Source organism: Homo sapiens, chromosome 18 (assembly GCF_000001405.40).
Source record: "Homo sapiens chromosome 18, GRCh38.p14 Primary Assembly".
Classification (NCBI taxonomy): Eukaryota; Metazoa; Chordata; class Mammalia; order Primates; family Hominidae; genus Homo; species Homo sapiens.
In genome coordinates this window covers 65,842,337-65,856,777 of record NC_000018.10, presented here as the reverse complement: position 1 = coordinate 65,856,777, position 14,441 = coordinate 65,842,337, and the positions used below count along the sequence as shown (strand labels likewise).

Here is a 14,441-nt window from a genome sequence, read left to right as displayed (position 1 = left end):
TTTCTGGTTGGGTGAGATGGCTCTCATTCAAAAACAAACAATTAAACGAACAAATGAACGAAAGAACAAACAGGAAAAAAACACACACCCACTTTAGGCATGATGATCAGCAACTGCTTCAGCTACCCTCATGACCCATTAAACATAAAGGCCTTTCATGTTCTTCATCTTCTTGATTCTTGATTTGCTCCTTTACTCCAGGCGTCATGGATTCTTATGAACATACCCTTGACTTGTCAGCTCTAATATATGCATTACTGTGGGAAACTCTACTTCAAGCATCTTACTCTCTATCCACCACCTCCCACTCCAGCAATTCTTCATCCTAATAGGGACCTACAGTTTATTGATGCTAGCAACATTTTCTTAAAATCAATTTGCCTTTATTTCCTCACATCTCTTACCAATTTATGTACTATGAGCCCTCATTATTATTACTCCTGTGTATATGGATATTACATTGCAATACATCAAATTTAGTGACATCAAACCATAATAATAATATATCTTATTTTGTTTGTGTCAGGAATTTGAAAGTGTGTTTGTAGGGCAGTTTTAGCTCTTAATCTCACAGGAGGTTGTAGTCAAATGTTGGCTGGGTCTACAGTCATTTGATGATTTGACTGGGATTGGAAGATCCAGTTTCGAAGTGTCTTATTCACATTGATGGCATGTGCATGGCATGGATGGTGAGTTGGTGCTGCCAAATGGACTCCTCTCCACAACACTGCCTGAGTGTCCTTACGGCGGGAGAGCCAGCTTCCCCCATTTTTTTTTTCAATTGATCTGACAGTGTGTTTTTTCTTCTTTAATTTCTTAATATGATGCATTATATTGATGAACTTTTGAATATTAAACCAATCTTATGCTTCTGGGATAAACCCTACTTTATCATGGTGAATTATTCTTTTCTATATTGCTTGATTGAGTTATCTAAATGTTCTGTGGAAAATATTTGCATGAAAGTCTTGATCAAAGTTTTCTTTACTTGCTGTGTCTACCTGGTTTTGGTAGTAAGAATAAGGCTGTACTTGTAAAAAAGTTGGGATGCATTCCCTCTTCTCATATTTCCTGAACAATACTGTGTACACTTGGTAATTCTTCTTTAAGCGTTTGGTAAAAATTTGTCAGTGAAGCTATCTGGGCTTGGATATTTCCATTTTCAGAAAGTTTTTAACTAAAATTATAATTTAATAGTTATGGGATTATTTAGGTTATCTATTTCATATTGAGTGAGTTTTGAGAGTTTACACTTTTTGAAAAATTGATCCGTTTATTCTAAATTGCCTAATTTCATTGAAATTATAAAACTTATGTCAGTAGATTTGTTTATAGTGTTTTCTTATTCTGCATTTTATGTTTGCGGGGTGTGTAACATCTCCTCTTTTGTTCTTAATATTTATCATTTTTTCTGCTTTTTTTTTTCCTTTGTCAATGTTGGTAGACGTTTATCAATATTTAGGTCTGTTCAAAAAAACAAGCTTTTAATTCTATTGATTTCTGTAAAATTTGTTTTGAAATGCATTGATTTATGTTCTTATCTTTATTGTTTTATTTCTTCACCTTGCTTTGGATTTATTCTACTAATGTTTTTCTAATTATTACTCCAGGACAGGGGACAGTAGAGAGAAAATAATGGTAAACTCATCACAGGTTTGGAGATACTCTGTATACTCATCTTCACTAAACTACCTGCTAATATTTACTTTTTAGAGGCCTGATGGCTCCACTCTATCCAGGTTTCATAGCTGCATTTACCGTGAGATACAGGGTGGAATATGCTTACTTAGAACAGGGTTATGTGTGTATCTATGTGTGTGTGTGTGTGTATATATATGTGTGTGTATATATATATATGTGTACACATATACTACATACATACGTATATGTATGAACCAATATACATATATAAAATACACTTCTATGTAAGTCATATCTAATGGCAATAGGAAAACTGATATTAATGTTTGATAAGAGGATTATAACTTAATGAGATTATAACCCATACATTCATGCATCAATTAAGCCAATATTAAAACCTGAATTGCTCTCTTTGTCAAATCTCTAAGTTAATAACTGAGATAATGTTTGAATATTCATGAAAAGACAAATGTCTAGATTCTTAAAAGCTAAAAGGCCTTGAACTTGACAGACATCAGTCTAAATGAATTCATGTAATTCCCCACAGGGCTAAAGTCAATGACTAAAACACTTGCTTCTATTATCAATAGTCTCAAAGATCCTAGCGTTAGAATAAAAAAAATTAAAGTTGAGAATTTATTTAATATGCTAAACTGGTCTCCAACCAGTATTTGCCTCATAGAAAACTACAAATAATTTAGGGATCTAGTTATAACCTAGGACTCTATCTGTTTTGAAAAAACATGGGCAACAAAAGTTTCTATCATTCAAATATTTACCATTTCTAAATTATACACTCTGCAGCTTCCCCTTGTAGATATATTTATTTATTTAAACAAAGTCTACTCTGTAGCCCAGGCTGGAGTACAGTGGTGCAAGCATGGCTCACTACAGCCTCAACCTCTCAGGCTCAAGTGATCCTCCCATCTCAGCCTCCCAAGGAGCAAGGTCTACACACATGGGCCACTGTGCCAAGCTAATTTTTGTATTTTTTGTAGAGATACGGTCTCACTATTGCTGCCAGGGCTGGTCCCAAACTCCTGGGCTCAAGCAATTCTCCTGCCTCAGCCTCTCAAAGTGTTAGGATTACAGGCTTGAACCACACACCACGCCCAGACCCCTTCTAAATTGTGTGTATTTGTTAATAACTATAATCCCCACTTAGATCTCACTAAATAGCATATATATATATATATATATATATATATATATATATATATATATATATATGGTAATTTATGATGTTATCATTTCCTTATGTCTTCCATTTATTCATTTATGCATTTGGCAATTACTCTTGAGCACCTGCAAGTGACATACTATTTCAGGAAATACATTACATAAACTTTTTTTATTGCAACGAAAATAATAAATATTGAGGAAGAAACTAAGAAGTTGTTATGAAGGAGGTCAGGGCATGTTTGCAGAAAGGTATTGACTTGAGATGAGATGGGACACTTTGTCAAAGACAAGGATTAGACTGAACATCCAGAACAGTCCTGGTGGTTTTTACATTTCTTAATGGCAAGGACTTGGGGTCACCTAGAATTAAAGGGGTTTCCTATTTTCTACCAGCCCCTCTGGACATGCAAAAAAACTTCAGTTGTTGTATAAAGCATTAGCTAATGTATAAAGTCACTTGAGAAAAAAAAAATCCTTAGGTGAGAAAAATAAAGAAAATACAGATACTTTTTAGAATGAGAAGTGTAATGTATCTCTGCCTTAGTAATGTAGGATGGCTGATTGAGCCAAGAGAAGAAAGGCCCTAAAAGAAGTCTGAAAGGAAACACTATTTGATGTTGTGGATTGACTGGCCTAGGGACTGAGAAATGCAGTTGCCTGAGTTAATTGGAGGCTGAACTAGAAGTGTGAGGATGGGTGATTTCCTAGTCATGAACCACCACTAACTACAGTGCAACTTCTGATGCCATTAGCGGTGTGTGAACTTACAACAATCTCTCTAGCTTCTGCAAATTACAGCCTAAAATACTTGGCTTCCTTTAGTGTATATTGGAGCGGACAATTAGAGAGATCACTTCCATATTTTTGCAGCAACAGCAGTTAAGCTTCTGCCCCATCCACTTATTATGCTGACAGCTCTGTATCTCAATATCCAGCCTAAAACTAGTTCCTGAAATTTTTGAACACTGCTTTATAGATGGCTTTACCATCATTAATTCAATCTCAATATATCTATGAGCAAATTCATCAACCTTTTCCCCAAATTACCCTACCTTCTGAACTTTTCTCTTTGCAGGATATAATATTTAAAATATAGTTTACCTTTTTTCCTTAATTCTCAAACAAATATGTAAGATCATATGTGGCAGAAACTTCCATTTGCATGCCTAATAATTATATTTCTCTTACTTCTTGTTAAGAGAACCATGCTTTTATTAGACGCAGCCATATGTCCCTCTGAAAAACTATATTTGCTAGCCTCCCTTGTAGATGTGATGTCTTTATATCTAAGTTTTGAAAAATGAGGTACAAAATACATTTTTAGCCTATAGTCTAATTGAAAAACTCCTTAAAGCATGAGTGATAGCTGTTAATTTACCTGGTATTTGATTTCTGCCCTCCCCCTTTCTCTCACCTGGGGCACAAACACAATGGAAGAGATCCAGAAGCCACATTGTAAATAAGCGGTGACAAGTGCTTAAAAAATGAAGTGAAGGCTCTTGATGGCATTATGCTGCCAAGGTGTCAGTCCTTGAAAGCATAGCTCCAGACTTCTCATTAGTATGTCATTAGTGTTAAGCTTTGCTGCTACTAGCCAAGCACAATTTCTAACTAACGCAAGCATATATTATTATTGAGGTTATTTCGATACTGGACTCTAAAATTTCACAGTTGGGGGTTGGATCCAAGATTTAGAATCATGACTATTTGAGCCAGTTTTCCAGCATACTATGTTGCATACAAATTGTAGTTTCAGCCACCTACATCTCTATAATTCAGCTTCTATTTGTTTTTTTTCACCCCTCTGCTTTCCTATCTAAACTCATAACCAGTCAAACTGATGTATTAAGTGGTGAACAAATATACCACACACATCTCCAATTCTGTGCCTTTTCTCATGTTGGTCATTCTGTATTCCTGTTTTTCCTCCTTTCCAATTATTTTAGTCCTGCTATTCCTTGAAGACAAACTAGCAGCATTAAAGCAGCATGCCTTTCCAATTACATCAGAAGTCATGCTTTTTTAAGAAAACCTGCATGGTGTGTGATCCGTGGATCTTACCAAATGCTCCTTGTGCTACACCACCAGGGACCATAGACTGAGGATTAAAGGACAGTATTTCTGGCCATTACCCTGTCACTAACCTACTGTTCTAATTGGGGCTTTTCATCTGTGCTTTTCTGTTTCTTCATTTGTTCAATGAGAAAGTTTTACAGGATGAATTCTCATTTTCAGATCTAACACTGAATTTTTTAAAATGAGTTTTCATGTAAGATCTCTTCTACAGCTACATAACAAGAGGGTTTCTGCAAAAGACCATATCTCATACATCTGTGTGTCTTCAGTGTTCTGAACATCTGTTACAAAATGAATTCCTTAATGAATACCGGTGATTATCACTGCAGCTATTTGATGAGCTAAAGAGATCAATTAAAATGTTCTTCTTTATATTCACAGGTAGCATTCTTATCACCAGCTATTAATTTACATATCAGTGTTCACAAACAGAAAGTGCAGGTGAGTGAGCTAGATTAACACAAATATATCATCAGTACTCCCAAAGTGGCAAAAGATAATGTAATACAAAAACATGGGAAAATTTCATCAATTGAAATAGATGAATAATTTGAATAGAAATTTTAATCTACTATAAAGTTTGTCGATATGTGCATTTGTGTGTGTGTGTGTGTATTGCTGTAAGGATCGTACAGGTTTGATATAGACCTCACTAAATTCCTGGAACCATATTTGCTAACTGTGTGGCTGGGGACATATTTACTTCTAATATAGGAATAATAGTGCTTGTCTCTTAGGAATTTAATGATAAGTAAACTTCAAAATAAATTATTGAGGCCGGGCACTGTGGCTCATGCCTGTAATCCCAGCATTTTGGGAGGCCAAGGTGGGTGGATTGCTTGAGTTCAGGACTTAGAGACCAGCCTAGGCAACATGGCAAAGCCCCATCTCTACAAACAATTAGCTGGGCGTGGTGGTATCTGCCTGTAGTCCTAGTTGCTGGGGAGGCTGAAATGGGAGGATCACCTGAGCCCAGAAGGCGGAAGTTGCAGTGAGCCATGATTGTGCCATTGCACTCCAGCCTGGGCGATAGACTGAGGACCTGTCTCAAAAAAAAAAAAAAAAGAATAAAAATGAACTATTGATTTCTGAGCTTAATGATAGCAGACACCTTGCCTGTATCCTCACCCCTCTTCTGATTATGTCAACACAATTTTCCTTTAGGGTTTTATACTTTTTCAAATCTCATATGCAATCTTGATGGCACTCAAGATGTCCAGAATGTTTTGGAGAAGAGACGGCCACATATATCAAGATATGAATAATAATAATAATAATAATAATAATAATAATAATAAAACCTCTGCAGGGAATGTGAATCTTAAACAGACAGCTGCAAGAAGAGTTGCAGCTGATTCATCACAGTTGCCACGTTCTGAAGAGCCTGCTACCCTCGCTACATGTATTTACAGAGGAACCCTACTCCTCTCTTTTCTGAAGATTGGCCATTCAGTTTTTTCCTTTCTTTCTTTGAGCTATACCCAATTATTTCAATAAACTTCTTTTTTAAAAAATGAACTGTGGCCAATTACTGTTGATTATAATTAAAGAATGTTAAGAGGATAGTACATGATAAAAAGTAATATTCCCTAACTTTTTAACCCCATGAATAATTCTCTATGATTTACACCAAGAACATTGAATTTTTGTATTCCTTTATTAATGTGACTTTTCAATAAGTATTTAATTTTATATATATATATATTATATATAGTGTGGCAGGGTCTCACTCTGTCACTGAGGCTGGAGTGCAGTGGCGTGATCTCAGCTCACTGCACCCTCCACCTCCTGGGTTCAAGAGATTCTTCAGCCTCAGCCTCCCGAGTAGCTGGGATTACAGGCATGCACCACCACACCTGGCTAATTTTTGTACTTTTGGTAAAGACAGGGCTTCACCACATGGGCCAGGCTGGTCTCGAATTCCTGGCCTAAAATGATCCACCCATCTCGGCCTCCCAAAATGCTGGGATTACAGACGTGAGCCACCGTGCTGGGCCCTCAATAAGTATTTTAGATATGAAAAATACTGTAAGAAACAAATCAGAACAAATGTAATTTTCAGTGAATTTATTTTACCTGGAGTCTTCCAAAAAGGTAACTAAGAAAGTCTTTGCTGACAGCAGAGCTTTGTAATTCTAGAGCAATAGAATAAAACATGAAAAAATGGGCCGGGGGTGGTGGCTCATACCTGTAATCCCAGCACTTTGGGAGGCTGAGGCAGATGGATCACCTGAGGTCAGGAGTTCGAGGCAAGCCTGGCCAACATGGTGAGACCCTGTCTCTACTAACAATACAAAAATTAGCCAGGTGTGGTGGCGGATGCCTGTAATGCCAGCTACTCGGGAGGCAGGGGCAGAAGAATTGCTTGAACTTGGGAGGCAGAAATTGCAGTGAACCGAGATCACACCACTGCACTCCAGCCAGGCAAAAGAAAAGAAAAGGAAAGAAAAGAAAGAAAAGAAAAGAAAAGAAAAGAAAAGAAAAGAAAAGAAAAGAAAAGAAAAGAAAAGAAAAGAAAAGAAAAGAAAAGAAAAGAAAAAGGAAAGGCTAAAATAAATTAGGCATTTCCTGCAAAATTTAACCTACAAAAATTATCTCTGGATAGTAAGTACACTACTCTAATGAAAACACGCTATGTTTTCACCATACATGAACATATACTTTCTTTTTTTCATTTTTAGTGGTAGTTATGCTAAAATGAGCAGCATTTTGAAATAGAGTACAGCTTATAGTCTTCTCAGAGATATAATATCTGCTACTTTTTAAGTTAATCAGTTTTATTGCTAGTATTATTTTTCTGTATGTTATGTTACTGGTTGGTTTGCTAATTTTCTTAGAATAAAATAGATATTCACAAATAATTTAGATTTCATATGTGCACATATATGAATGAGTACAAGCTACTTAAAAAATACACACTGAATTATTCAAACACCCCAAATATGTTCACACTAATCCATCACATAAAGTAATTTCCAACATAATATTATCACTTTTTATGTGAGGATATACAATACTAGGAATGCTGAAAAAGCCCACGGGTAAATATTATCCAAGTATCCTTTAACATAAATATAAACATATTTCTATATTTAGATTATTAGAAATGCTTAAAATGATGCGTATTACTTTTTGTTTTCCTGTCTTCATATCTGATCTTATTTGTAATAATATCATGTTCTATTTCATTGGCCATTTTTAGTATAGGAACTTTGGGCTTGCTGTGATGCCTACAGAAATGAACTTGCTGATTTCATAATTTAGTACTAGGCTTTTAGGATATAACCAAATAAAACATAAATGTACTTTGCATGATTTTTCTTGGCTTGCCCAAATCTTGCCATCTCTTGAAGCCCTACTTACACTACCACTCCTTCAAATGAAATCTCACAGCCAGTGAACTTGGAGTGCTGATTATTTATCTTACAATTTGCCATATTACAGTGCTGGCATATTTTTCCCCATATTGTTTAACTTTTATGAGCTCTTATTACTTCATCCAGATTGTAAGTTCCTTGAGGTCAGAGGAAATGTTTTATTTATCTTTGTTTTCTCATTAGCATTTTCCCCAGTGCTTGCATAACACAGGTTTTTAATGAATGCCTGTTCAGTCATTGATCAGTCTGCCAATGCTGACATGAGAAATGAGTCAAATCCTCTAGACTCTAGGCTGTTCTTACATCTTTTACCATCTTGGATGAGAAACACAGAAGTGAAGTTTCTATCACTCAGAAACGTGACCAGAATCAGCAGACCACAATCTGTCCTTCCAAGTTCAATAGATAAAGCCCGATATTGAGTACTTAGGGCCAAAATTTACATGATATGATAAACAGCTACTTATCAAATAACAAGCCGGAAACGTGCTTGCCCTCAATTACCCATTTTTCTTTAAAAAAAAAAATCGTTTTTTTTCCCTCTAAGTAATCTCAAGTGTCAACTAACTTCTACCCTTGGCTTTGACTGCAATTTTAGTTTACGTATGGTTTTATTTCCACATACCACTCCCTGCCACAAAAGGACAGTACAGTGTACATGAAATGGTGGTCTAGATAAGCTATCTGGATGTTGGGTAAAGTATAAAAAAGACCTAACATTCACAATCGTGTTATGTTCTGGCCAGTTACTGGGGTTTGGGTTTTTTTAATCTTTCCATCTATGATGACTACACTTGTAAACGTCAAGAATGACCAGGTTCCAATAGTCATATAGGTGCCCCAGTCTTTCTCTAAGGAAAAAGCAGATTCATAGAGAAGAGTTATGCATAGCCTTTGGGTGGTACTTCAGTAAAGTAGGTAGAAATTTTAAAATGCTGTGCAAGGCAGGGATCATGTAGGAAGACAATATCAATTTCGCCTTGCTGGGGGCAACTAAATGTATATTTTTCTAGAATTCTAATTTATTGCCTCATATATCAGAAAATACTACAAACATAAATGACATATGCTAGATTTCAGTATTATACAACAGAGAATGTCAATAAATTCAAAACTAATCATCCCATTGGCCACACTGTTTTACAAGTCAAACCCTACTGGTCTAATTTTAAACAATTACAACAAAACAAATAATGCTTTTCCATTCCTCAAAGAACTACAATATTGCTAAAGGTGTAAAGCACAAAGGTCACAATTGTTAAGACTCCTCATGTCCCATCTCAATGTGGAGATTCACTTTTCCTAGTACCTCAGAAGACTGCTATTTATTCATCCATTAACATATGTTTTATTATGTTAAACATATGAGACAGGATTTACATTTTGATAGTTACTGGAGTGCCTAATGCAAATACATGCTTATATTCATCAAAAAGCCATACAATATGTTATATCTATTGGAATACGCGTGAGTACAAGACAACCTGCAATATAGATTGTCAATATGGTTGCATATAAAATGCTATGTCTCTTTTACTGACTTCATTAATCTCAGAATTAAAATGGCATGGAAACACAATAACCTATAATAATAGCAATATATAATGATAATACATGGTAATATTCAAGTCATGATTCACAGTTTAAAAGCTTCATTTACTTTCTCGCTCTTATTCAATCATCAGAGAAGCTTGGGATAAAGCATCAGCTACTTTTCCTTTTTGCTGGCTAATACAAAAACACAGAAGACAAGGTGACATCTCCGAGGCCATTCCACAAACAGCAGTGCTGGGAAGGGAACCAGTCTTCCAGAGAATGCGTGAGAGTAATGCATATGCAACAAATTATAAAATAAGGAGACTGGCCTCTTAAGGGATATTATATAAATGGATAGAGGAAGAGAAGTATGTGAGAGACAAATGCAGAATAAAAAGGTATAAATAATTGTGCTGACCTTATGAAAATCGTGTAAAAACTTTCAAGTATGTAAGTATTAAACATGACTCAAGAAATTAATTCTACAAATGCAAAAGAAATATTCATATATACAAAATAAAATTTTAATTCACTGGGGACAAAGTCTATCTATTTCTCTATTTGTGAGATAACGATGTAAGCTAATAGAAACCTGAACCTTCAGGTCACCGTCATTACTTTTAAGGAAATGAAAGTGGGGTAAAAAATATGGTGCTGGGTGGGTACTCTTTCACTGATAAAGACCACAGAGATTTTTACTTCCAAAATCAGAAGTTCTGCCTTTGACCTCTGTGCTTCAGAGAACAGAAGTGGAGCTCACTTCATCTCTCTCTAGTCACTACTTGCTCTTTCTCAAGTCACCTCCCATTTGGGCCAACTATTCCTTCTTCTTCCTAAAATTATTATATAATAATATTGACTTTTTTCCAATGAAAATATTATAAAAAGTGAAATATTTTCTATGAAAGGCTTCAACAGAATGACAACAAGGGAGTGGGTAATAGAATAATTTAAACAGGATAAAAATATCAATGCAATCAATGAAAATATTCTTAAATCCTTTCATTTTACTTATTCACTTATTTATTTTAGAGACAGGGGTCTCACTATGTTGTCCAGGCTGGAGTGCAGTGGTTATTTACAAGTGCAATTGTAGCTCACTGCAGTCTAGAACTCCTGGTCTCAAGTGATCCTCCTGTTTCAGCCTCCCAAGTTGCTAGAACTACAGGCATTTGTCACCCCACCTGGCTCCATCATTCATTTTAGTAGTAAATTATGATATATAGTAATGTCTTTCGGTCACTCTCCATATCTCCAACTTTATGAAAGCATGTCTCTCTTTCTTTCCATTAAATTAAATGATTCAAGCAGAAACCAAATTGTCCTAAGTAGCTAATCTATGCCAGTAATTGTACTGTGGTTGATTGTTCATGAGGGCAAGAGATTTAAGGTTTCACTAAGAGATGGAATGCTATAACAAAACTCAAACTCATGTTTGCCCCAATTAATATAACTTGGTATGTGGGGCTGAACTGCAGTCAGAAAGTTTTCTTGACCATGAAGGCAGGGCAATTACAGAGAAGAGGGGAAGGCTTATTCTATCTGCTATATTTGTGATTCATAAATATTCTTGTGCACAGATTATACTCTCGGAAATGGTCTATTATCACCACATTAAAAACAGTATAATCATCAATACATTCTGAATTTGCTGCCTAGATAAGCACATAATACATATGATTTCACTTTTTAAATAACTATTTTTCTATACCAATCCTTTACTAGTTCTATATATATGTGTGTATGTATATATATACATATATATACACATATACATATATGTATGTATATATACTACTTTAAAATATGTGTGTATGTGTATAAATGTACATAATCACTTTATTACTTTAGAAAGAAACAACATTATCGGCTTTTTAAAATCAATAAATATTAAGTAATTTTCATGACAATTTAGAGCCAACGTCCAGACTTATCTCAAAAGTTAGTTCAAAAGCACTTACCATTGTTAAATATTATTTAAATCTAAAAGTCTGTGGATAGTTTCTAATTGAACATATCTGAAGATAAAACAATCATTGTTGTTTTATTTATTTTTACGTTATAGTCTTTGTAATCAAAATCAAACCTTTATGTTGAAAAGTGAAGTATTTTACTTACAAACCCAAATAAGACATATAATACAACAGACATTTTATTTCAAGTATATTCTATTTATAATGTTACCTCAAAAAAATAAGTCTCACACAAACACATAAACACATGCATACACACAAAAACATGTAGATCTCATACTATAAATTTGCTAAAAAGTGCAAAATGTAATGTTGACATATTTTGAAATGCTTACATATCACCATTGTGTCAGTCTTAAAGATATTACTTGGCTATAACAATATCTAGCCTAGATACAAGACTACTGAAAAGATATTTTTAATAGTCTTTATATGTAGCTAGTTTTTTTAAAAAAATTAAGTGGAAATATTAAACTGAACAAATATATACTGTTCAAGTAGACCAATATCAATAAAATGATTTGTTTAGAAATTAGTCCCTAATTTGAATTGTTGATACAATTATTTTTCTAACATATGCATGTATCCTACAACTTAAACATGCATTGCTTCATTTTTGAACATGTTTTGCTTTAAAAGAGATTCAGGATAATTGGTTGAATAGAAACATCAGCTATGGCTTGTGGATAGTAATGGAGGCCTAAAAATATGGCTCAACGATAATGGCCTTGATAATCAGATGATATTTTTGAGTTAGTAAAATGTATGTTTCTAATGCTGTTTTACCTCTGCTGTTATAACTCGATATATATATATATCTGGTTTTTATTTGTTATGAACAAAGGAACATCAGAGCGTAAAATAAGAGTTGTGAACAAGAATGCATTGTTTGTAAAACCATAGAAAAGGACAACAATGAGTTTTTACCTCACAGGGCTATTGGAAGAATCTGGGTCATGAGCTGCTACAGTGCCAATGATATTCCCAACCTGGGTAGCTTCCGACACCTCCATAGGGTACAAGGGTGAAGAGAACACAGGGGGCTCATCTACATCTTCCACAATTATCTTCACAGTTGTCGTGTCACTGAACGGACCCAAGCTCAGAAAGCGAGGGTCGGCATCTTTATTTGCAGCTTCTATCCGTAGCGTGTAACTTGTTTTGGCTTCAAAATCCAGCTCCTGTAAAGAAAGTCGTTAGGAAAATTAAATTACCGGTTAAACAGTCAGCAAAGCAGAGCCTTTTCATTTATGAATGTCAATAAGCTTAGGAAGGACTCTGTCATGTAAATGCACCATCAGCATCCAAAAATAATAAATAACAATGCCAATCAGATTTCTTGTTGCTTTCCTGGCTCACAAACAATGGTTAGTGCTTTTGAATCAACTTCATCCACTCTGCTGCTATACGCTGCACAGACAGACAGATGCCAGTCTTTGGAATACGATTTGAAAGAAAAACTGGTCAAATTTATTTTTTTTCCAACAGGGACTGTCAATGTAATATTCTTCAACCATGTAACTTAACTGTACTACCCAGGGTGCACTTTAAAAATTAAGAAAAGCATTACTTTCTATTGAATTTCTCATTTAAAAGGTCAGTGATTTGGGGGACTTAATTAGGATTCTGAGCTTTCAGGGCACTCAAAGTGTGGCTTCAGGGGCAAGTGTGCCATCCTGAGGTTGTTCAATCTGCAAACATGGCCAGTTCTTCTCCATGAAGCACCCATCATGTCTGCCTTCGCTATTCCTCCATCAAAATATACTAGATCTCTATTTTAGGAGGTTAACAGTTATATCTCAGAATCTTTACATTGTATCTAATTTTCCAAGAGGATTTACATGCTACAATTTTCCCAAAAATTAGTGACCAACTCAAACCGCATGAGAGCTGAAAAAGGTTGTAAGGACAATTAAACTAGTTGCAGTAGCAGAGCACCATCTTTGAAAAATAAAAATCATATACACAACATGTAGACGTTGTTTGTGACAATAACATGCTTCTTTTTCTTCAATGGATACAGAAAGTAACAGCTTTTTATGACTTTCAATTTCAGTCTTACCACTTGCAAAACTGTCCCCAAATTCTTTTTACATTTAATGATGTAAAACAAAAAGAATTAAAAACAGTGAAAAAAAAAACTTTACAGGAATACTGAAAAATATAATACATACTTGACTTAGTTGTCAGTATATAAGAATAAGGCATTATGAAATGTGAGCTAATATGTAATACTAAGAATTGTAATTCAGATTCATTCACTGTATGTTTGGGCATACGTGTGTATATGTATGCAGGCACGCATTTATTCCGACTTATCCCACAAAGGAGGTAATAACCAAAATAAATAAAACAATAGTTATATAAGTATACAATAGGATGTATATACACATACTATACTGTATATAATATATCCCATACTGTGTACAGTGCATATTCACTTTGCTACATAAAATATAACACATATATACACACATATACACATTATATATATAAATATATGTATACACATTACATATGTGTATATATATGTTTGCACACAAATATTAAAGAGATCCCACAGCTTATCTCCGAGTAAGCAAAAGGAAAATATACACATATATATATATAAATCAATATACAAAATAGGCTTACAATATCTAGACCAGACAGGACT

The 14,441-nt window shown here is 34.7% G+C and overlaps 1 protein-coding gene across 4 annotated transcripts in view; it reads right to left on the bottom strand.

Annotated features, from left to right (window-relative positions):
* Positions 1 to 14,441, bottom strand: part of CDH7 (cadherin 7) — a 140,086-nt gene that overhangs the window by 33,560 nt on the left and 92,085 nt on the right. For all 4 annotated transcript variants that reach the window (NM_033646.4, NM_001362438.2, NM_004361.5 and 1 more), the window contains exon 7: positions 12,713 to 12,966. In NM_033646.4, the coding sequence (NP_387450.1) occupies positions 12,713 to 12,966 (254 nt within the window). The remainder of the gene's footprint in view (positions 1 to 12,712; positions 12,967 to 14,441) is intronic.